Genomic DNA, 22,544 nt, shown 5'->3' on the forward strand with positions numbered 1-22,544 from the left:
GAGAGGGCAAGTAAGAAATTTCAGCAGAAGGAAATGCAAATGGAAGCCTCATTTTTCTCTGCAACTCCTCCATGACAACTCCACTCCTCTGTGGCCAGAGGACGCACTTACACAGGCCGAGGAATCATTAGACAACTGAATAAACACTTAAACCTTCCACCTTTGCCTCACCTCCTCCTGAGAACAGCAGTCCTGCCTGAGACACTGCCCATACAAACAAAACAAGGGTAGAGGCAATGTGAGAGATACTCAAGTGCTGCTGGCAGCCTCTCTAGAATCCAGGCAGCCCACCTGGGAGGCCAGGGGAAGAAGGATGAGGCCGACCTGGAAGACACCCCCCAAACTCTAGCACGGAACCCCAGGCTCAGTCTAGGATGCCTGGCAGGTGGGGAAGCCCATGAGTCTCACGCTAATGGTAGGTATGTGACCACCCCTTTCTTCTAAGCAGTGGCGAAAGGTCCCGCTGCCGTTGGCGCCAGCCTAGGATAAGCACGGAGGCCCTGGAGTGGAAGGTCCGGCCCAGCACTGGGTTTGGACACCTGTTGCGGTTCTCTTGACGGCAGGTGTCTCAGGACAGAGAACAGGCAGTCAGCCCTCGGCCTGTTCAGCCTCACCACCCTGGACATCCTGAAAGGGCCAAGCCCTAACTTGGAGCACCTAGGCAGGGAAAGGGAGGTGATAGGGCGGGGGCCTGGCAGCAGAGCCACCCCACGGACGCTCTAGCCTTAATTCCCCCCAGCCTGACGGGCCGATACCTTTGTAGTGGACGCGGAGGTTGCCCTGGGAGAGACCAATGTAGTTGTATTTGTCCTTGGGGCTCCAGGAGCGCGGCAGCGGAGTCTCTTGCTGGTTGACCGCGGGATACAGGCGCTGCAAGCGCCGGCTCAGCTCCTGCTCCCCAGGGGACGGCAGCCCGCCCCCAGCGCCCCCGCCGGAGGAGTCCCCAGGCTGCGGGTTCCCAGCTCCCGGGTCTGCCGTCGCTGCCGCCATCTTGGAGGGAGCTACTATTGTGTCACTGGGGGCGGGGAGGAGCGGGACCAGATCCGCCCCGCTCAGCCAATGGCCCGTGAGCCTCCCTGGGCCGCAGGGAAACCGAGTCCGAGTCCGGCACCCCTCTTTGGACACTGACACGCCTTACCACATTTCGAACTCCATACCCCACAATGCAGAGCTCTCGAGAGGCGGAGCAACTCGGGCTGGTAGAGAATTCTGGGAGATGTAGTATAACCGTCCTCAGCCATAAGCCTGTCCCATCGAGACGTCGGGACACCGAAAACTACCATTCCCGCCGGCAAAGCGGCTCCGGCCTCTCAGCACACTTCCCTCCCCATGGCCTCTGTTCATCCCCCTGCCTCAGTTCTGGTACCTGGGGTCAAATCGGCTGTAGTGGTTGACTCTCAGGGCACCCGCTGCCGGGTCCCAGTCCACCTTTGCTACTTTGTCCTACTCCCAGCCCGCGGGCGCTAGGCTCGGGGGCGTGGCGCATCCCTGACTCCGCCCCCGCCGCGGGGGGGCCTCTGGGGCCTGGTCGCCATGGCGACCGGCTGTACGCTACCACAGCTTCCCAGGCCGCGGGTGCTGATTGCCCGCCTGCCCGTGGGTCATGGCCTGCCAGCAGTCGCGGTACCACAGCTTCTCGTCCGCGTCGAGGTAGGCGCTGGCAGGGATGAGGGCAGAGATGAGGGTTTGAGTACTTCTAGAGAGGGAAATGGCACTTGATCCGGACCTCTGCACCTCCTGCTGGCCTCTGACCATTGATCTAGGGCTCCAGCACCACAGAGTCAATGGTTAGAATCGGGCTGATTTAGCCCAGTGAAGACGTTACGTGCTAGCAAAACGGTAGGCGCACTTTATCATTACTAGTAACAACCAGCTTGTATTGAATGTACTATATGCCAAATGCTTTATATACCACATTTTTAAATATTTTATTTTTGAGACAAGATCTCGTTCTGTCGCCCAGGCTGGAGTGCAGTGGCACTACTACGGCTCACTGCAGCCTCGACCTCCCGGGCTCAAGCGATCCTTCTACCTCAGCCTCCCGAGTAGCTGGGACTACAGGCATGCGCCACTACGCTTGGCTAATTTTTGGGTGTTTCTTTGTTCGTTTGTTTTTTGTAGAGACGAGGTTTCACCACGTTGCCCAGGCTGGTTTCGAACTCCTAGACTCAAGCGACCCTCCCACTTCGACCTCTCAAACTGGGATTACAAGCGTGAACCCCCACACCCGGCCTACGTACCATATTTAATCCTCACAACAACTGTATAAAGTAGTAATATTACCATTGAACAAGTAAAGAAATACTTTAGAAGCCTGGAGAGATCATCCTCTGGGTAGCTTCTGCCTGTACTCAGGTGTATAGCCTCTGGGTACTGCAAAATATGACCAGCTCCATCAGCCTGGAGAGCCATACATACGGATTAAAACAAAAATTTTGGCTAAATCGTTTTCTAGTTTTGGGACTTCAGACAGGGCCCTTCAAGTTCCAGGCCTCAGCTTATATATCTCAAACATGGGAATGATACAGCCCACCCCACAAACATTGTTGGGAACATTTAGGCAGAATATGTGAAGCTCTTGACACAGCTCTTGTATGTAATAGGCACCCAGTAAGTGTTGAATGAATGTAGTGTCCCCCCTTCTACTCATTCCCAGTGGGGGAAAAAAAAAAAAACACCACCCAATCCCACCTAAACTCTTCAGGGTCTGCTGCCTTGACAGAGAAAAGCCTACAAAAGCCCCTAAGAGGCCAGGCACGGTGGCTCACGCCTATAATCCCAGCACTTTGGGAGGCCGAGGCGGGGGGATCACTAGGTCAGGAGATCGAGACCATCCTGGCTAACGTGGTGAAACCCGGTCTCTACAAAATACAAAAAATTAGCCAGGCATGGGGGTGGGCACCTGTAGTCCCAGCTACTCGGGAGGCTGAGGCAGGAGAATGGCATGAACCTGGGAGGCAGAGCTTGCAGTGAGCCGAGATCCTGCCACTGCACTCCAGCCTGGGCAACAGAGCGAGACTACGTCTCAAAAAAAAAAAAAATTTAGCCGGGCATGGTGGCAGGCACCTGTATTCCCAGCTACTTGGGAGGCTGAGGCAGGAGAATCGCTTGAACCAGGGAGGCAGAGGGCAGAGGTTGCAGTGAGCCAAGATCACGCCACTGCACTCTAGCCTGGGCGACAGAGTGAGACTCCGTCTCAAAAAAAGAAAAAAGAAAAAAAAGGAAAAAGAAAAGAGAGAGAGAGAAAGAGAATTGTTACCCAGCACAGGATTAATTTAGTAAACTGCCATTCTCTATGAAAAGGATATGAAGCAGACCCAGAAAGAGAATCCCCATTCATTTTAAGAAAGAAGCACAGGGCTGGTCATGATGGCTCATGCCTGTAATCCCAATACTTTGGGAGGCCAAGGTGGGAGGATCACTTGAGGTAAGGAATTCAAGACCAGCCTGGGAAACATAGTAAGACCCTGTCCCTACAAATAATAATAATAATAATAATAAAAGTTTCAGCTACTCAGGAGGCTGAGGCAGGAGGATTACTTGAACCCAGAAGTTCGAGAGGGTGTAGTGAGCTGTGATCACACTAGTGCCTTGTAGCCTGGGCAACAAAGCAAGACCCTGTCTATTAAAAAAAAAAAAATGGCCGGGCGTGGTGGCTCACGCCTGTAATCCCAGCACTTTGGGAGGCCAAGGTGCGCGGATCACGGGGTCAAAAGATCGAGACAATCCTGGCCAACATGGTAAAACCTTGTCTCTACTAAAAATACAAAAATTAGCCAGGTGTGGTGGCTTGCACCTGTAGTCCCAACTACTCGGGAGGCTGAGGCAGGAGAACCCAGGAGGTGGAGGTTGCAGTGAGCCCAGATCATGCCACTGCACTCCAGCCTGGCAGCAGAGTGAGACTCCATCTCAAAAAAAGAAAGAAAATCAGCCAGGCATGGTGACCTGTGCCTGTAATCCCAGCTATTCTGGAGGCTGAGGCACAAGAATTGCTTGAACCCAGGAGGAGGAGGTTGCAGTGAGCTGAGATCTTGCCACTGCATTCCAGCTGCCTGGGAGACACAGCAAGACTCCGTCTCAAAAAAAAATAAATAAATAAATAAATAAATAATACAGGCCGGGAGCAGTGAGTGGCTCATGCTTGTAATCCCAACACTTTAGGAGTCTGAGGTGGGTACATCATTTGGGGTCAGGAGTTCAAGACCAGCCTGGCCAACATAGTGAAACCCCATCTCTACTAAAAATACAAAAACTAGCCAGGCGGTAGTGGCATGCACCTGTAATCCCAGCTACTCAGGAGGCTGAAGCAGGAGAATCGCTTGAACCTGGGAGGCGGAGGTTGCAGTGAGCCGAGATCGGGCCACTGCACTCCAGTCCGGGCAAGAGAGTGAGACCCTGTCTCAAAAAATAGTAAATAAATAAAATTTAAAAAAAAATACAACATCATTAATCTACCATATTCCTTATTCACCAGCATTTAGTGATGTTGGGCCAGACTCACTGTTTCTCTTAGAGACACTGTGGATGTCCTCATCCTTTCCCTTTAAAAAGGGGCAGCATGATGGATAAGCTAGACCTTAGCACTGTGGAACATGTCATCAGGACCCTCTGCAAGGGACCTTCGAATTGTGCATTTTCCTGGGGCAGGTTTCTCCTCCCTATCGGCTTTTCTCCTTTCACCCTCATAACCCTGGCACTTGGTGGATGGAACTCAGCAGCTTGCGTTCACTGAATACCAAGATATAACCCTGACAAACCCACTGCCTACTACCACTTAAATAACTGAGCTTGAGGCCGGGTACGGTGGCTCACGTCTGTAATCCCAGCACTTTGGGAGGCCAAGGTGGGCAGATCATGAGGTCAGGAGTTCGAGACCAGCCTGACCAACACGGTGAAACCCCATCTCTACTAAAAATACAAAAATTAGCCGGGCTTGGTGGTGCTCACCTGCAATCCCAGCTACTTGGGAGGCAGAGGCAGGAGGATCACTTGAGCCCGGGAGGCAGAGGTTGCAGTGAGCCGAGGTCATGCTACTACACTCCTGCCTGGGCGACAGAGCCAGATTACGTCTTAAAAAAATAAAAATAAAAGTAAATAAATAACTGAGTTTGGTCCAGCTTTGAGGTAGAAATATAAATGTTTCCCATTCCCCTCTGAGGGTTACCATAAAATATTTAATATAAAACATCTTAAACTTTTTTTTTTTTTTGAGATGGAGTGTCTCACTCTATTGCCCAGGCTGGAGTGCAGTGGCATGATCTCAGCTCGCTGCAACCTCTGCCTCCCGGGTTCAAGCGATTCTCCTGCCCCAGCCTCCCTAGTAGCTGGGACTATAGGCGCGTGCCACCACACCTGGCTAATTTTTTGTATTTTTAGTAGACAGGGTTTCACCGTGTTAGCCAGGATGGTCTCGATCTCCTGACCTCATGTCTTTTGTTTTTTTTTTTTCCTTTTTCTGGAGAACGGGGTCTCGCTATATTGCCCAGGCAGGTCTCGAACTCCTGGGCTCAAGCTATCCTCCCGCCTCTTAGCCTCCCTGAGAGCTGGGATTACAGGCGTGAGCCACCGCGCCCGGCCGATCTCCTGACCTCATGATCTGCTCACCTCGGCCTCCCAAAGTGCTGGGATTACAGGTGTGAGCCATCACGCCCAAGCCCAAGCTTTTTGGATAAGTGTACAGGCCCTAGCAGGTGTTTGGTTTGCCTTGTTTTAAGTCTGTTTTATAATGTTGTCTCCTTTGATATTCAAAACTAACAACATCTGTTACCTACTGAACTTTTCCATTCAACAGCTTCTCAGAATTTATAGAATTCCCCAATTTTCTTGCTTACCTTGCCTTTCCTGGTGCTTCCAGCATGAGCAAGAACAGAGTTTGGAGAATTGATTAGTCTTTTTTTTTTTTTTTTTTTTTTTGAGACAGAGTCTCTCTGTGTTGCCCAAGCTGTAGTGCAGTGGCTCCATCTCGGCTCACTGCAACCTCCCACTCCCAGGTTCAAGAGATTCTCCTGCCTCAGCCTCCCGAGTAGCTGGGACTACAGGTGCCCGCCACCACACCCGGCTAATTTTTGTATTTTTTTAGTAGAGACAGGGTTTCACTATGTTGGCCAGGCTGGTCTTGAACTCCTGACCTCGTGATTTGCCCACCTCTCCCTCCCAAAGTGCTGGGATTACAGGCTTGAGCCACTGCACGGCGAATAATATATTAGTCTTGATAAGAAGGTATTGATTTAACCCAGTGAGCACTTGGGGTTGATCTGTTGTATCTTGTTGGTCTCCAAGACTGTCTCACACCCAAGCTCATCTGGGCAGACACTCTTCCTTCTCCTCACCGACTGCTTAATCCATATGTTTTGCTCACACTTGTCCAATGTTGAGAAGCAATAGAGGACTAGGGTTTGGAATATTACTGCTCCATGGACTATAGCTGAGCAGCATTACAGGGCAGAGTTTCTCAACTGGGTTCACATTAGGGCTCTCAACTTCCCTGGAGTTTGGGTAGTCCTAATCCTACTTTTATAAGCAAAGACACTGAGGTTCAGAGATGTTAAGCGGCATGCCCAAAATCACCAGCAAGCAAGAGGAGTGAACACAAGATCTATCTGGCAACATAAATCACACACCCCCACCCCATGGATTGTTGGAATTACTTCTTCCTTTTGTTCCACCTGAGCCTGCCTGCCCACAGTAGCCCTTCCTGTTGGTCCCCAAATGCCTTCCTAGGATGGCTGTTCTAAGAGGCTTTTCCTGTTCTACTGTCATAATGAACATCTATGCAGTTCATTGCAGTTTACATGGTATTTTGCATATCTCATTTTTTTTTATTTATTTAAAAAAAAATAGGCCGGGCACGGTGGCTCACACCCGTAATCCCAGCACTTTGGAAGGCTGAGGCGGGCAGATCACGAGGTCAGGAGATCGAGACCATCCTGGCCAACATGGTGAAACTCTATCTCTACTAAAAATACAAAAATTAGCCAGGCACGGTAGCGTGCACCTGTAGTCCCAGCTACTCAGGAGGCTGAGGCAAGAGAATTGCTTGAACCTGGGAGTCGGAGGCTGCAGTGAGCCGAGATCATGCCATTGCACTCCAGCCTGGGCAACAGAGTCAGACTCTGTCTCAAGAAAAAAAAAAAAATTGGCTAGGTACAGTGGCTCACGCCTGTAATCCCAGCACTTTGGGAGGCTGAGGCAGGCAGATCACCTGAGGTCAGGAGTTTGAAACCAGAAATAAATAAATAAATAAAAATAGAGGCAAAGTCTCACTATGTTGCTCAGGCTCATCTCGAACTCCTGGGCTCAAGCGATCTGCCCGCCTTGGCTTCCCAAAGTGCTGGGATTACAGGCATGAGCTACCACGCCCAGATGCACATCTAATTTTTTTTGTTTTGCTTTCAGACAGAGTTTTACTCTGTCACCCAGGCTGGAGTGCAGTGGTGCAATCTCGGCTCACTGCAACCTCCGCCTCCCAGATTCAAGTGATTCTTCTGCCTCAGCCTCCTGAGTAGCTGGAATTAGAGGCACCCGCCACCACACTCAGCTCATTCTTATTTAAACTTCAGGCCGGTCGCGGTGGCTTACGCCTGTAATCCCAGCAGTTTGGGAGGTGGACGTGGGTGGATCATTTGAGGTCAGGTGTTCAAGACCAGCCTGGCCAACATGGTGAAATCCCATCTCTACTAAAAATACAAAAATTAGCTGGGCATGGTGGCAGGGGCCTGTAGTCCCAGCTACTCAGGAAGCTGAGGAAGGAGAATTGCTTGAACCCAGGAGGTGAAGGTTGCAGTGAGCTGAGATGGCGCCACTGCACTCTACCCTGGGTGACAGAGTGAGACTGCATCTCAAAATAAATAAATAAATAAAATAAACTTCATAACTTTGTAAGATAGGCAAAGCAAGAGTTGTCCCTGGCCAGGCACAGTGGCTCACGCCTGTAATCCCAGCATTTTGGGAGGCCAAGGCAGGTGGATCATGAGGTCAGGAATTCAAGACCAGCCTGGCCAACATGGTGAAACCCCGTCTCTACTGAAAATACAAAAATTATCCATGCGTGGTGGCAGGTGCCTGTAATCCCAGCTACTCGGGATGCTGAGGCAGAGAATTGCTTGAACCCGCGAGATGGAGGTTGCAGTGAGCCAAGATCGCACCACTGCACTCCAGCCTGGGTGACAGGGTAAGACTCCGTCTCAAAAAAAAAAAAAAAAAAAAAAAAGAGTTGTCTCCACTTCTTTGTGAAGAAACCAGGCTGAGAAATATTAAATGACTTGCTCAAGGGTGGTCCTATTAGAACCCCAGATGTCAGCCCTTAGACCCTATCAGCTGCCAGTAAGTGCAGGACTCAGACTCACACCCCAGATCCTGGACCCCAGACCCTGTGCTTCTTGTCCTACAGCACCTGCCCTTTGTATCACAGCCCCAGAGTATGCCAGAGTTGTGTACATGAAACCAATACCACAGCCACAGTTGAACACTGAACAGAAGTATAGGCCCATGGGGTTCTCTGGGTTCATGGGGAGGATGTCCTGCTGCTGCAGTAGTTGGTGAAATTTTGGTGATGAAAAGAATGTTTCTGGGAATGTAAGCAAATGGTTTGGACCCAAGGCCAGGGACTTGCTTGGCAGTGTCTCTGGGAATCCGGAGGCAGCACCCAGAGCCTGGCTCAGGGAGACGGCTATGCCTTGTGGATCTAGAAAGGATGGGAGTTCTCTTCCCACTCTGGACTCTGTCACCCACCATCAGCTTTCCCTTCTCTGTGCAGATTACAGCCACGGCCTTCAGGAGTGACCATAGACGAATCCTTTCTCACAGAAGACAAGAGCACCCAGAATCGCAAGCTTCTTCAGAAACGAAGGACGCTGGTTAGTGACAATGTTGTTTTGGAACCCCAAATGTCAGCCCCCAGACCCTATCCGTCTCCCTTCCTGCAACCCAAGAGTACCACCCACCTGAAACATGCCCACCTGAAACATGCCCACCAGAGTGGCTTCTTCTCAGTTAGAGAGTGTGGCTCAGAGAGGCCAGGCCCACCAGGCTTTGGGGAGAAGGGTGTACACTGGCTGCCTGCTCCTTATCTGAAAAGCCTTCCCGGATCTCCCTAGGCAGAGAGAGAACTCGCCTCTGCCCACAGACATCCCTCCCCAGCAGCTCAGCATTCTGCAGCGGCCCTTACCTCTCATCCCTCCCGCCAACACACCAGGCACTGTGCTACCTGCTGGGACGGTCACACCAGATCTGCCAAGGTCCTTCATGGCTGTGACTGTATCTTTCTATCTTTATGGCCCTAGAATCTAACAGGCTACCTGAATGTCTGCCAAATGTTGATAGCTCCATAATTGCTGAGTAGGTGTGTGAAGGCAGGAGGAAAGAGATGCGTCTCTACCATGTTCACTCCGGATCTCTCCGCCATTCCTCTTTTTTAAAGTTTGTATATAAAAATGAATGCTGTACCAAAGGTATCAGAAGAGAAATGAAATTTAAATTAAAAAAAAAAAGAGCCGGGCGCAGTGACTCATGCCTATAATCCCAGTACTCTGGGAGGCCGAGGCAGGCGGATCACCTGAAGTAAGGAGTTTGACCAGCTTGGCCAACATGGCGAAACCCCATATCTACTAAAAATATAAAAATTAGCCATGCATGGTGGTGCATCTGTAGTCCCAGCTACTCAGGAGGCTGAGGCACGAGAATTGCTTTAACCTGGGACGTGGAGGTTGCAGTGAGCCGAGATCACACCACTGCACTCCAGCCTGGACAACAGAGCAAGACTACATCTCAAAAAAAAAAAAAAAAAAAAAAAGAATGCCATCTTTTTTTTTGAGACAGGCTTTTGCCTGTCAGGGTGCAGTGGTGCAGTGGTGCAGTTATGGCTCGCTGCAGTCTCAAATGCCAGGGCTCAAGTGATCCTCCCACCTCACCCTCCCAAGTAGCTGGAACTATAGGCACATGCCACCATACCCAGCTAATTTTTTTGGCAGGGGGGGACAGAGTTTTGCTCTGACACTCTGGCTGGAGTGCAGTGGCACAAACACAGCTCACTGCAGACTCCACCTCCCATGCTGAACCAATCCTCCCACTCAGCCTCCTGAGTAGCTGAGACTACAGGAGTGCGCCACCACACCTGGCTATTTTTTGCATTTTTTGTAGAGGCAGAGTCTAACTACGTTGCCCAAGCTGGTCTTGAACTCCTGGGCTCAAGCTATCCTCCTTCCTTGGCCTCCCAAAGCACTAGGATTACAGGTGTGAGCCACCACACTGAGCTCAATACTGTTTTTTTTTTTGAGATGGGGTCTTGCTCTGTCACCCAGGAAGGAGCACAGTGGCGCGATCTCGGCTCACTGCAACCTCCGCCTCCTGGGTTCAAGTGATTATCCTACCTCAGCCTCCTGAGTAGCTGGGATTACAGGTGCACACCACCATGCCCGGCTAATTTTTTTTTTTTTTTTTTTTTTGAGACGGAATCTCGCTGTCGCCCAGGCTGGAGTGCAGTGACGCAATCTCGGCTCACTGCAAGCTCCACCTCCCAGGTTCACCCCATTCTCCTGCCTCAGCCGCCCCAGTAGCTGGGACAGACGCCCGCCAACACACCTGGCTAATTTTTTTTGTATTTTTAGTAGAGATGGGGTTTTACCGTGTTGGCCAGGATGGTCTCGATCTCCTGCCCTCGTGATCCGCCCGCCTCGGCCTCCCAAAGTGCTGGGATTACAGGCGTGAGCCACTGTACCTGGCCCCAATGCTGTCTTATTAAGTACTTTTGGGCTCTTGTTGATATGATCATAGGATTGTTATTAATCAGCAAATAGCCATTGTCCAAATCTCATAAAGGAAAAAACACATTTGAGTAAACTTACAACTCTGGCTCACAGTGGAACAGCATGGGCTGTATGGTGGTTTTCCTTCTGTGACCCTGACCCTCGTGGGGAATTTGGAAACACATGGGCCACACACTTTGTGGGGCTGGGGACTCCCAACACCCCTGCGGGAGTGACTCCAGGGAGGAGAAAGGAGGGGTCAGTATGGATTATTCGCAGAGACCAAGCGCAGCCCAAAAACCTGATGACTAGGGGAGAGCTCTGAGGCTCCCGGGCACCCTTCTCAGCTGCCACCTTCTGTGGGCCAGGCTTTTTCATTCTTTCTTTTGCGCGGCATCAACCACCAGGGGGCAGTGTTCCCTCCCGCCGTCCCTCCGGGGCCGCCTTCCCGTTTTTACCTACAGGGGGAAGCAGAGAGCACGGAGCGCCCGGGAGCACTGCGTTCCAGCCACCCGGGCGGAGATCCCTCAGCTGTTAATAACCTAGCCGAGACCCGGCCCTGGCAGCTGGTTCTCCAGCTTCCACTCGCCTCTGCAAGCAAAGGAGGGTAGCCACATTTTCTCCCGGTAGAAACAGTAGACAGAACACGAGGACTGGTCTTTTTTTTTTTTTTTAATATTAATTAATTTATTTTTTGAGACGGAGCCTCGCTCCTCGCCCAGGCTGGAGCGCAGTGGCACAGTCTTGGCTCACTGCAACCTCCACCTCCCAGGTTCAAGCGATTCTCCTGCCTCAGCCTCCCTAGTAGCTGGGACTACAGGCACGTGTCACCACACCTGGCTAATTTTTTGCGGTTTTTTTTTTGTTTTTTGTTTTTTTGAAACAGAGTCTTGCTTTGTCGCCCAGGCTGGAGTGCAGTGGCGCGATCTCGGCTCACTGCAAGTTCCGCCTCCCGGGTTCACGCCATTCTCCTGCCACAGTCTCCTGAGTAGCTGGGACTACAGGCGCCCGCCACCGCGCCCGGCTATTTTTTTTTTTTTTTTGTATTTTTAGTAGAGACGGGGTTTCACCGTGGTCTCGATCTCCTAACCTCGTGATCCACCCGCCTCGGCCTCCCAAAGTGCTGGGATTACAGGCGTGAGCCACCGCGCCCGGCCATTTTTTGCGTTTTTAGTAGAGACGAGGGTTTCACCGTGTTAGCCAGGATGGTCTCCGTCTCCTGACCTCGTGATTTGCCCGCCTTGGCCTCCCAAAGTGCTGGGATTACAAGCGTAAGCCACCGCGCCCGGCCAAGGACTGGTCTTTTACAAGTCTGAAAAACGGCCGGGCGCGGTGGCTCACGCCTGTAATCCCAGCACTTTGGGAGGCCGAAGTGGGTGGATCACCTGAGGTCAGGGGTTCAAGACCACCCTGGGCAACATGGTGAAACTCCGTTTCTACTAAAAATACAAAATTTGCCGGGTGTGGTGGTGCGTGCCTGCAGTCTCTTCGGGAGGCTGAGGCAGGAGAATTGCTTGAACTTGGGAGGTGGAGGTTGCAGTGAGCCAAGATAGTGCCACTGCGCTCCAGCCTGGGCAACAGAGTGAGGCTCCGTCTCAAAATAAATGAATAAATAAAAACAAATAATAAAAAATAGTCTGGGCCGGGCGCAGTGGCTCACACCTGTAATCCCAGCATTTTGGGAGGCTGAGGTGGGCAGATCACTAGGTCAGGAGTTCAAGACCAGCCTGGCCAACATGGTGAAACCCCATCTCTACTAAAAATACAAAAATTAGCTGGGCGTGGTGGCATGCGCCTGTAATTCCGGCTACTCGGGAGGCTGAGGCAGGACAATCACTTGAACCCAGGAGGTGGAGGCTGCAGTGAGCAGAGATTGTGCCACTGCACCCCAGCCTGGGCGACAGAGCGAGACTCAGTCTCAAAAAAATAAATAAATAAAATTCTGAAAAACAAGGCTGGCTCACACCTGTAATCCTAACACTTTGGGAGGCCAAAGAAGGAAGACTGCTTGAGACCAGGAGTTTGAGACCAGCCTGGCAACACAGGGAGATTTCATCTCTACAAAAAAGATTTTTTAAATTAACCAGGAATGGTGGTGTGCCCATGTAGTCCTAGCTACTCAGGAGACTGAGGTGGGAGGATCTCTTGAGCCCGGGAGTTTGTAGTTACTGTGAGGTGTTATTGGGTCACTGCACTCCAGCCTGGGTGACAGAGTAAGACCCTGTCTCTAAGAAAAAAATAAAAAATAAACTCCCAGGTGTCTTCCAGGGTTATTTTGTGCTTTTATAAAAATTAGGCTGGGCATCATGACTCAAGCCTGTAATCCCAGCACTTTGGGAGGACAAGGTAGGAGGATCTCTTGATCCCAGGACAGTTCGAGAAGCCCAGCGTGGGCAACATAGTGAGACCCCATCCTTTTTTTTTTTTTTTTTTGAGACAGAGTCTCTCTCTGTCGCCCAGACTGGAGTACAGTCGTGCCATGTCTGCTCACTGTGGCCTCTGCCTCCAGGGTTGAGGCAATTCTTCTGCCTCGGCCTCCGAAATAGCTGGGATTACAGGCGTGCACTACCAGGCCTGGTTAATTTTTGTATTTTTAGTAGAGATGGGGTTTCAACATGTTGGCCAGGCTGGCCTCAAATTCCTGGCCTCAGGTTATCCGCTTGCCTCCGCCTCCCAAAGTGCTGGGAATCAGGCGTGAGCTGGGCGCGATGGCTCACACTTGTAATCTCTACTAAAAATACAAAAGAACTGGGCATGGTGGCAGGCCAGCTACTCGGGAGTCTGAGGCAGGAGAATTGCTTGAACTCAAGAGGCAGAGCTGCAGTGAGCAGAGATCGTGCTACTGTACTGCACTCCAGCTTGGGCAACTCCAGCTTGGCAACTCCATCTCAAATAAATAAATAAATACATACATATAAACATACATACATAAATAATTACATCCATTTTGATAGTCTTTTTTTTTTTTTTTTGAGATGGAGTTTCACTCTTGTCCCCGTGGCTGGAGTGCAAGGGGTCGATCCCAGCTCACTGCAACCTCTGCCTCCCGAGTTCAAGCGATTCTCCTGCCTCAGCCTCCCGAGTAACTGGGAATACAGGCGTGTGCCACCATGCCCGGCTAATTTTTGTATTTTTAGTAGAGATGGAGTTTCACCATGTTGGCCAGGCTGGTCTCAAATTCCTGACCTCAAGTGATCTGCCCACCTTGGCCTCAAAGTGCTAAAAGTCGCACATCTTGGCCTCCCAAACTGCTGGGATTACGGGCATGAGCCACTGTGCCCGGCCAGAATAGCTAATCTTTACTGAGTTCCTAGCAAGTACCAGGGTCCATGTGAAGCACACATTATGCTTTCCCTCTTTTTTTTTTTTTTTTTTTGAGACAGAGTTTTGTTCTTGTTGTCCAGGCTGGAGTGCAATGGTGCAATCTCAGCTCACCGCAACCTCCGCTTCCCGGGTTCAAGGGATTCTCCTGCCTCAGCCTCCTGAGTAGCTGGGACTATAAGCACATGCCACCACACCTGGCTAAATTTTTTTTTTTTTTTTTTTTTTGAGACTGAGTCTCGCTCTGTCGCCAGGCTGGAGTGCAGTGGCGCAATCTTGGCTCACTGCAAACTCCGCCTCCTGGGTTCATGCCATTCTCCTGCCTCAGCCTCCAGAGTAGCTGGGACTACAGGTGTCCGACACCACGCCCGGCTAATTTTTTGTATTTTTAGTAGAGACGGGGTTTCACTGTGTTAACCAGGATGGTCTCGATCTCCTGACCTCGTGATCCATCCGCCTTGGCCTTGCAAAGTGCTGGGATTACAGGCGTGAGCCACCATGCCCGGCCTAATTTTTTTTTGTATTTTTAGTAGAGACGGGGTTTCACCGTGTTAGCCAGGATAGTCTCGATCTCCTGACCTCGTGATCCACCCACCTCAGCCTCCGAAAGTGCTGGGAATTACAGGCGTGAGCCACCGCGCCCGACTATGCTTTCTCACTGCATCCTCACATCAATACACTGTGACAAAGACTACCATCATCCCTATTTTACAGACGTGAGAACTAAGGCTCAGAGAAGTTGTGACATAGCTAATAAGGGACATTTGAGACTTAACCCGAGTCTTCTCTAACTCAAGAACCCACAGTCTTAATTATGAACCATGTTGAGAGATGTTTGTAAAACACATCAGGGCTGGCCAGGCACAGTGGTTCACGCCTGTAATCCCAGCACTTTGGGAGGCCAAAGTGGGTGGATCACGAGGTTAAGAGTTCAAGACCAGCCTGGCCAAGATGGTGAAACCACGTCTCTACTAAAAATACAAAAATTAGATGGGTGTGGTGGTGGGTGCTTGTAATCTCAACTATTCGGGAGGCTGAGGCAGAGAACAGCTTGAACCTGGGAGGCGAAGGTTGCAGTGAGCCAAGATCGTGCCACCACACTCCAGCCTGGGCAACAGAGCAAGACTGTCTCAAAAAAAAAAAGTCAGGACTGGGGGAGGAGAGATGGAGAGAAACATTAGGAAGGGGAGCAATGTTGCCATGGCAACCCCACCTGTACCTCCCTGCAGACTGGTCAGTTCTCCATGGGTGGGCACCTGTCCCCATGGCCCACATACACCAGTGGCCAGACCATTTTGCAAAATCGAAAACCCTGTTCAGATGACTACCGGAAGCGAGTAGGGTAAGCCAGGGTCAGTCCCATGGTGGGTGAGCTGGCATGGGCCAGGCTTTGGGCCAGGAGACAGGGCAGGGGCGTGTGTTGCCCCAGACTGAGGGCACAAGGGCCCCGTGGGGGTGCTGGCCACATATCAGCCACTGTCCCCTGCAGGAGCTGCCAGCAGCACCCCTTTCGCACTGCCAAGCCCCAGTACTTGGAGGAACTGGAAAACTACCTACGCAAGGAGCTCCTCCTGCTGGACCTGGGCACAGATTCCACCCAGGAACTAAGGCTGCAGGTCAGAGCCACAGAAGAAACTTGGGGAGGGCGGGGGAAGGGTGGGAAGAAGCTTCACCTACCGGCCGGGCACAGTGGCTCACGCCTGTAATCTCAGCACTTTGGGAGGCCAAGGCGGGTGGACCACCTGAGGTCAGGAGTTCAAGACCAGCCTGGCCAACATGGCGAAACCCCGTCTCTACTAAAAGTACAAAAATTAGCCAGGCATGGTAGTGGGCACCTGTAGTCCCAGCTACTCAGGAGGCTGAGGCAGGAGAATCGCTTGAACCCTGAACCCGGGAGGCAGCGGTTGCAGTGAGACAAGATCACACCACTGCACTCCAACCTGGGCGACAAGAGTGAGACTCCGTCTCAAAAACAAAAAAAAGCCTCACCTACAAGGACTGAGCACCTCAGACCTTCAGGGGAGACCCACCTCTCCCAGCTCTCCTGGGTCTCCTTCCCTGAACAGAAGCATGAAACATCCCATGAAAATGCCAGTGAGGCCGGGCACAGTGGCTCATGCCTGTAATCCCAGCACTTCGGGAGGCTGAGGCAGGAGGATCGCTTGAGGTCAGGAGTTCAAGACCAGCCTGGTCAACATGGTGAAACCCTGCCTCTACTAAAAATACAAAACCTGCAGTGGTGGTACACACCTGTAGTCCCAGCTACTCAGGAGGCTGAGGCAGGAGAATTGCTTGAACCCAGGCGGCAGAGGTTGCAGTGAGCCGAGATCATGCCACTGCACTACAGCCTGGGCAACAGAGTGAGACTCTGTCAACAGAAAAAAGAAGGCCAGGCACGGTGGCTCACACCTGTAATCCCAGCAGTTTGGGAGGCCGAGGCAGGCGGATCACCAGGTCAGGAGATCGAGACCATCCTGGCTAACATGGTGAAACCCCGTCTCTACTAAAAATACAAAAAAATTAGCCAGGTGTGGTGGCAGGCACCTGTAGTCCCAGCTGCTCGGGAGGCTGAGGCAGGAGAATGGCATGAACCTGGGAGGCGGAGCTTGCAGTGAGCCAAGTTCACGCCACTGCACTCCAGCCTGGGCAACAGAGTGAGACTCCATCTCAAAAAAAAAAAAAAAAAAAGAAAACGCCAGTGAGCAGGCAAGGCTGCAATGTGGATCCAAAAGTCTCCTGAGGCTGGAGTTTCCTCACCTGAGTCAGGTGGCCTGGATGCTGTGCCCAGTCCCTGCAGCTCTGTGATCCCCAGTACCCAGGTTGGGCCACTGGACATCAGTGAACGTAGCCTGAATGCTGGCAGTTGGGCAAGCAGGGGTCACACCGTGTTTACCAGTCCAGTGGCAACAACCCCAAGCTTAAGGAACCAGCACAGATGCATAAGGAGGGAGGGAGGAAGAGAGAGAGAGAGAGAGAGAGAGATCAGATCCAACCCAGATACCAGTGTATAGTAGGGAGAGAATCACCAAATCTGCTTAAACAAGGATGATGACAGAGAATCCCTGCCTTTTGACTTAGTCATTGACTAAAGCATTTACTGAGCACTGGCTATGTGCAAGTGCAAGGCCCTGGGCTGGGGCCTTACATCGATCTCCTGAACAGATAAGGAAGAAAGCATACCACTATGGCGTAGTGGGGCTGGGCTTCAAACTCAGGGCTGACTCTGGAGACTGTGCTCATTTCAGTGAGCAATGCTGCCTCCAGAAACCTCCCATGTGTCCAAATGGGACAGAAGACCACACCCCTACTTGCATGTCAGGATGCAAGGGTACAACCTTCAATCTCCTGAATCTACCAGGCTCTAAGATGGGGAGAGGTTACAAGTGAGAGGCCAATGATGCAGTGTCTAGAAGGCAAGAGGCTGGCTGCCTGGAGAGCCAGAGAGGGGCTCAGGCACAGAGTGGATGTCTGTCTATGGTCATGGCAGTCCACTAGGCCTCAGAGACAGCATCAGGACAGGCCTCCAGAGAGCTGCCCCCCAGGCTCCGTGGCACTGTGAGGTACCCGGGTGGTATCTAGGGCATTTACTTGAATATAAGTGACCTGGCAGCCTCATGCTGGAATACTGCTAAGCCCAGTAAAGAAAAAAACAGTGCCAGGCACAGTGGCTCACACCTGTAATCCCAGCACTCTGGGAGGCCGAGGTGGGTGGATCACGAGGTCAGGAGATCGAGACCATCCAGGCCAACATGGTGAAACCTCATCTCTACTAAAAATACAAAAATTAGCCAGGTGTGGTGGCGCGTGCCTGTAATCCCAGCTACTCAGGAGGCTGAGGCAGGAGAATCACTTGAACCTGGGAGGCAGAGGTTGCAGTGAGCTGAGATTGCACCACAGCACTCCAGCCTGGGTGATGGAGCGACACTCCGTCTCAGGAAAAAAGAAAAAGAAAAACAGTTCCCCACTAAGGTTGGCAGCTGTGGGCTAGGAGATGATGGGTTCCCTTTTCTTGCCAGCCTTACAGAGAGATCTTTGAGTTCTTCATAGAGGACTTCAAAACGTACAAGCCATTACTATCCTCCATCAAGAATGCGTATGAGGGGATGCTGGGTAAGAATGCACCTCCTGCCAGGCGTAGTGGCTCACGCCTGTAATCCCAGCACTTTAGGAGGCCGAGGCGGTAGATCACTTGAGGTCAGGAGTTTGAGACCAGCCTGGCCAACATGGTGAAACCCTGTCTCTAGTAAAAACACAAAAAAATTAGCTGCGCATGGTGGCACACACCTGTAATCCCAGCTACTTGGGAGACTGAGGCAGGAGAATTGCTTGAACCTAGGAGGTGGAGGTTGCAGTGAGTTGAGATCACACCACCGCACTCCAGCCTGGGCAAAAGAACAAGACTCCATCGCAAAAAAAAAAAAAAAAAAAGAATGCAGCTCCCCTCCTTGTCCCAGCCTGGAAGGGGTGGAGAAGATCCTATTCGACCTTCTGGTGCTCCACAGCAGGGCTGGGGCAGCTACCAACTGGGCCTTGAGGTCACCAAGGCCCCTCAGCCATTCTGCACAGACTGTTCCATGATAGGGCACCCCAGAGCACCTGACAACACCTGTCATTGAGAAGCACAGGGGGGCAGTCCCTGTTGAAAATGGAGTGAACCCCAGGAGAGAGTCAGCACCTCTGGGAGTCAGCAGGCTCCCCTGCCAGGCTCAGGAGGTGCAGGGCATGGTGCAGCTGCAGGACTTAAGGCTGTAGGGGAAAGGACATAGGAGAGACCCCGGTCTTCATCTGAACTCTGCCCTTTGTTTAAAATCAAGTGCAGGAAGGCCTGAAACAGGGACCATGGCTTTGAACAAGGCATGCAGAGATTCTTGGGGTTTGCAAGCGACATAGCCACTCACCCATGACCTTAGGGTGTCTTCTGGCTGTTTGTTCTCCATGGCCCCAAAGCAGCTCTCCCACCTGTCTCTGCTTAGCCCACCAAAGGGAGAAGATTCGGGCTCTGGAGCCCCTGAAGGCCAAGCTTGTCACTGTGAATGAGGACTGCAATGAGAGGATCCTGGCCATGAGAGCTGAGGAGAAATATGAAATCTCCCTGCTCAAGAAAGAGAAGATGAACTTGCTAAAACTCATCGACAAAAAGAATGAGGAGAAGATTTCATTGCAGAGCGAGGTGAATGGAAGTGGTGTGATGATGACCAAGTCCCCGAATTCCTGCCAACTCCACGACAAGGGTGACCCCCTACCCTGCTCTGCCTTTCTACGGAGAGTGACACACTGAGCCACCACCTTCCCCCAGAGCCTTGCTAACTCCACCCTCTGCCCTGCTGCTAGGCTCAGTACTTTCCCCACAGGGGGAAACATTGGCACCTTGCCGAATTCTCAGAAATGGCCAATCTCCTTCTTCTTTCACCTTTCCTGTTCACAGTCCCTGATGGGGCCCCCCAGAACCCAGCCCACTCCCTGGGGTGACCAGCTGCATACAGGGGTCCAGGGGCAGCCCCTGACCACACAGCCACCTTCTTGCCAGGTGACCAAACTGAGGAAGAACTTGGCTGAGGAGTACCTGCACTACCTCAGTGAGCGAGATGCCTGTAAGATCCTCATCGCAGACCTGAATGAGCTGCGGTACCAGCGGGAGGACATGTCATTAGCCCAGTCGCCAGGTAAGCCTGAATTGGGAATCGGGTTTCTCTCTTCTCTGAGACGCTGGAAGACTCTGGTCTCACCCCTAAGCCCCATTCATTCAGCATTCCTAAGACCTGCTCATTCCATAACCATTCAGAGGGGAGATGTCCCTGCCTCCCGCAGGGCTGTGTATCTTCTGAGTTGAACTGAGAATTGTAGGAACACAGTTGGTAGCTGAGGCAGCCTAGGCTCCCAGTGGGCTGGACAGGCCTGGTACTCAGTTTCCTGGGCTTCTAGACTTTAGCCTGAAACCCTAGGCTGGTAGTGCTGTGGGCAAGAACCAGGGAACCCCAAACAGGAAGGGCAGAGGGCTTCAGGCAACCCCTGAGAAAGCCACGGTGACACGGGCTGGTGGGCCCCTTCCCCTGGCAGGCATCTGGGGGGAGGACCCTGTGAAGTTAACCCTGGCTCTTAAGATGACCCGGCAAGACCTGACCCGCACGCAGATGGAACTCAACAACATGAAGGCCAACTTTGGAGATGTGGTCCCCAGGAGGGACTTTGAAATGCAGGAGAAGACCAACAAGGATCTTCAGGAGCAGGTGCTGGCAGGCAGGCAGGGCCAGGAGGGTAGGACGGGGTCTCACAGGTGGGGGGCCAGGGCCAATGTCCTTGCCCACAGCTGGACACCCTGAGAGCCAGCTACGAGGAGGTTCGCAAGGAGCATGAGATCCTCATGCAGCTGCACATGAGCACGCTGAAGGAACGGGACCAATTCTTCTCTGAGCTGCAGGAGATCCAGCGCACTTCCACGCCGCGGCCTGACTGGACCAAGTGCAAAGGTGAGGGCAGCCGGCAGGGCCCCAGGTCCTGCTTACATGTGGGCCCAGACTCCAGCTCCCTCTCCCCACATGCAGATGTGGTGGCTGGGGGCCCAGAGCGCTGGCAGATGCTGGCTGAGGGCAAGAACAGCGACCAGCTGGTGGACGTGCTCCTGGAAGAGATTGGTTCGGGGCTGCTGCGGGAGAAAGACTTCTTCCCTGGTCTGGTAGGGGAGGCCCCAGGAGTGGGGCTTGGGCCAGAGTCAGAACAGCCATGCCCTGCTGCTCAGACAAGCTTTTGGGGAACCAACTGGGGATCTTCCCTGATTGGGGGTGGGGCCACAGATGGGTCCAGAGATGAGCTGATATCCTCCCTCCTAGGGCTATGGGGAAGCCATCCCTGCTTTTCTTCGGTTTGATGGCCTCGTGGAGAACAAGAAGCCAAGCAAGAAGGACGTGGTCAACCTCCTCAAGGATGCCTGGAAGGAACGTCTTGCTGAGGAGCAGGTCAGATCTCACCAGCCACTCTGGCCCAGCATGGTCTTCAGATCCAGAGTCCTCTGCAGGTCCAGAGGTGACAGGGATGAGGGCCAACCAACCGTAAGACTCTGACTGAGCATTTCCTCGATCCCGCAGAAAGAGACGTTCCCAGATTTCTTCTTCAATTTCCTGGAGCATCGCTTTGGGCCCAGTGATGCCATGGCCTGGGCTTATACTATTTTTGAAAATATCAAGATCTTCCACTCCAACGAGGTTATGAGTCAGTTCTATGCAGTCTTGATGGGAAAGGTGAGCTGGGGCCTATTCCCCTTGGGGAGACTGAGAGGGGTCTTTGTCCCTAGCATAGACCAGCTTTGCCCCCACCACTCCCAGGAACAGCAGGTGAATAATGCTTCTCTCCTTATAGCGGAGTGAGAATGTGTATGTCACCCAGAAGGAGACAGTAGCCCAGCTGCTGAAGGAGATGACAAATGCTGACAGTCAGAACGAGGGGCTACTAACCATGGAGCAGTTCAAGTGAGAGGCCAGTCCAGGCTACCCCCAACTCCTACCCAACTATTCCTGCATCTGTAGGGAAAAGGGGCACCTGGTGGGAAGGGCCACAGCCTCGGCACTCACTCCCTTTTGAGCACTAGGGAGAGGCACAAGCAGGCCTCAGCAGGTCCCTGTTGGCCCTCATGTCTCCCCTACAGCACTGTCCTCAAGAGTACCTTCCCTCTCAAGACAGAAGAGCAAATCCAGGAGCTGATGGAGGCAGGGGGCTGGCATCCCAGCAGCAGCAATGCAGACTTGCTCAACTACCGCTCACTGTTTATGGAGGTGGGTGTGTGGGGTCCGGGGACTGGCCTGGCCCCTGCCCTAGCCTTGGCTGGACCCTACCCAATGTGCCCTCCCCCTGACTTGTGGCCCCTCCCAGGATGAGGAGGGCCAGAGTGAGCCCTTTGTGCAAAAACTCTGGGAACAATACATGGATGAGAAGGACGAGTACTTACAGCAGCTAAAGCAGGAGCTTGGCATAGAACTGTGAGTGACCCTCATCCATAGGCGAGTCCCACAGGCTGGGCCCCTGAAGCCCCTGGGTCTCCCTGTGCACCATGCACCATCCACTGCTCAGCCCAGCACAGAGGAGGGCACCTGGGAGTCTGGGGCACGGAGAGGAGGGGTCAGGGCCTGTCACTCTCTTTCCTGTGGGGCAGCCATGAGGAAGTGACTCTGCCCAAGCTGCGAGGGGGCCTGATGACCATCGACCCCAGCCTGGACAAGCAGACAGTGAACACCTACATGAGCCAGGCCTTCCAGCTCCCTGAGTCGGAAATGCCAGAGGAGGGTGACGAGAAGGAAGAAGCCGTGGTGGAAATCCTCCAGACTGCCCTGGAGCGGCTTCAGGTGATTGACATCAGGCGTGTGGGACCTCGAGAGCCAGAGCCTGCAAGCTAGGAACTTGTGGGCAGCCTGCGTACTCCAGTCCTGCTAACCCCTAGCTTTTAATATAAAAGTGTTTGTCTGAATCCATGCCATTCTCCAGACTGTGCTG

General features: G+C 52.4%; 2 protein-coding genes across 29 annotated transcripts in view, besides 8 other annotated features; one reads left to right on the plus strand and one right to left on the minus strand.

The window, feature by feature from the left end:
• RANBP10 (RAN binding protein 10) overlaps positions 1 to 1,014 on the minus strand; it is an 83,491-nt gene extending 82,477 nt beyond the window's left edge. For all 5 annotated transcript variants that reach the window (NM_001320238.2, NM_001320239.2, NM_020850.3 and 2 more), the window contains exon 1: positions 756 to 1,014. Coding sequence is in view for 3 of the 5 variants with exons in the window: in NM_001320239.2 (NP_001307168.1) it covers positions 756 to 990 (235 nt within the window). In the remaining 2 variants the exon portion in view is untranslated. The remainder of the gene's footprint in view (positions 1 to 755) is intronic.
• Positions 137 to 757: an enhancer, noted in NCBI's record as "H3K27ac hESC enhancer chr16:67839586-67840206 (GRCh37/hg19 assembly coordinates)". NCBI's record gives its function as "activates a minimal SCP1, AML or CMV promoter by ChIP-STARR-seq in naive H9 embryonic stem cells {active_cell/tissue: H9 hESC(naive)}" and the evidence as "EXISTENCE:reporter gene assay evidence [ECO:0000049][PMID:30033119]".
• Positions 733 to 952: a silencer, noted in NCBI's record as "silent region_7625". NCBI's record gives its function as "represses an Ori minimal core promoter by ATAC-STARR-seq in GM12878 lymphoblastoid cells {active_cell/tissue: GM12878}" and the evidence as "EXISTENCE:reporter gene assay evidence [ECO:0000049][PMID:35858748]".
• Positions 733 to 1,377: a biological region, named in NCBI's record as "H3K27ac hESC enhancer GRCh37_chr16:67840207-67840826".
• Positions 758 to 1,377: an enhancer, noted in NCBI's record as "H3K27ac hESC enhancer chr16:67840207-67840826 (GRCh37/hg19 assembly coordinates)". NCBI's record gives its function as "activates a minimal SCP1, AML or CMV promoter by ChIP-STARR-seq in naive H9 embryonic stem cells {active_cell/tissue: H9 hESC(naive)}" and the evidence as "EXISTENCE:reporter gene assay evidence [ECO:0000049][PMID:30033119]".
• Positions 1,083 to 1,312: an enhancer, noted in NCBI's record as "active region_10985". NCBI's record gives its function as "activates an Ori minimal core promoter by ATAC-STARR-seq in GM12878 lymphoblastoid cells {active_cell/tissue: GM12878}" and the evidence as "EXISTENCE:reporter gene assay evidence [ECO:0000049][PMID:35858748]".
• Positions 1,343 to 22,522, plus strand: TSNAXIP1 (translin associated factor X interacting protein 1). Of its 24 annotated transcripts, none has more exons than NM_018430.4 (16): positions 1,343 to 1,839; positions 8,756 to 8,855; positions 15,293 to 15,405; positions 15,553 to 15,679; positions 18,080 to 18,173; positions 19,037 to 19,233; positions 19,591 to 19,726; positions 20,121 to 20,290; positions 20,371 to 20,530; positions 20,606 to 20,736; positions 20,891 to 21,016; positions 21,146 to 21,298; positions 21,417 to 21,526; positions 21,703 to 21,829; positions 21,927 to 22,033; positions 22,207 to 22,522. In NM_018430.4, the coding sequence occupies exons 3-16, from the start codon at positions 15,308 to 15,310 to the stop codon at positions 22,445 to 22,447; spliced, it is 1,977 nt and encodes a 658-aa protein (NP_060900.2). In that variant the 5' UTR covers positions 1,343 to 1,839; positions 8,756 to 8,855; positions 15,293 to 15,307; the 3' UTR covers positions 22,448 to 22,522. The 24 variants fall into 24 exon arrangements, with proteins under 24 accessions (NP_060900.2, XP_011521534.1, XP_011521535.1 ...); XM_011523232.3 differs by having other exon boundaries at positions 1,343 to 1,650; positions 20,350 to 20,530; positions 20,579 to 20,736; XM_011523233.3 differs by having other exon boundaries at positions 1,343 to 1,650; positions 20,350 to 20,530.
• Positions 1,453 to 1,572: a silencer, noted in NCBI's record as "silent region_7626". NCBI's record gives its function as "represses an Ori minimal core promoter by ATAC-STARR-seq in GM12878 lymphoblastoid cells {active_cell/tissue: GM12878}" and the evidence as "EXISTENCE:reporter gene assay evidence [ECO:0000049][PMID:35858748]".
• Positions 11,572 to 11,754: a silencer, noted in NCBI's record as "fragment chr16:67851021-67851203 (GRCh37/hg19 assembly coordinates)". NCBI's record gives its function as "represses an EF-1alpha promoter that drives an FKBP-Casp9 reporter gene in an ReSE screen in K562 erythroleukemia cells {active_cell/tissue: K562}" and the evidence as "EXISTENCE:reporter gene assay evidence [ECO:0000049][PMID:32094911]".
• Positions 19,944 to 20,804: an enhancer, noted in NCBI's record as "H3K4me1 hESC enhancer chr16:67859393-67860253 (GRCh37/hg19 assembly coordinates)". NCBI's record gives its function as "activates a minimal SCP1, AML or CMV promoter by ChIP-STARR-seq in naive H9 embryonic stem cells {active_cell/tissue: H9 hESC(naive)}" and the evidence as "EXISTENCE:reporter gene assay evidence [ECO:0000049][PMID:30033119]".

Source organism: Homo sapiens, chromosome 16, assembly GCF_000001405.40.
Source record: "Homo sapiens chromosome 16, GRCh38.p14 Primary Assembly".
Classification (NCBI taxonomy): Eukaryota; Metazoa; Chordata; class Mammalia; order Primates; family Hominidae; genus Homo; species Homo sapiens.

Coding starts and splice junctions, on each gene's coding strand:
- TSNAXIP1 (XM_011523230.3), top strand. CDS start 1,604: ATGGCCTGCCAGCAGTCGCGGTACCACAGCTTCTCGTCCGCGTCGAG. Junction 20,291..20,349: donor ACAAGGATCTTCAGGAGCAG/GTGCTGGCAGGC, acceptor GTGGGGGGCCAG/GGCCAATGTCCTTGCCCACA. Junction 22,034..22,206: donor CAGGAGCTTGGCATAGAACT/GTGAGTGACCCT, acceptor CCTGTGGGGCAG/CCATGAGGAAGTGACTCTGC.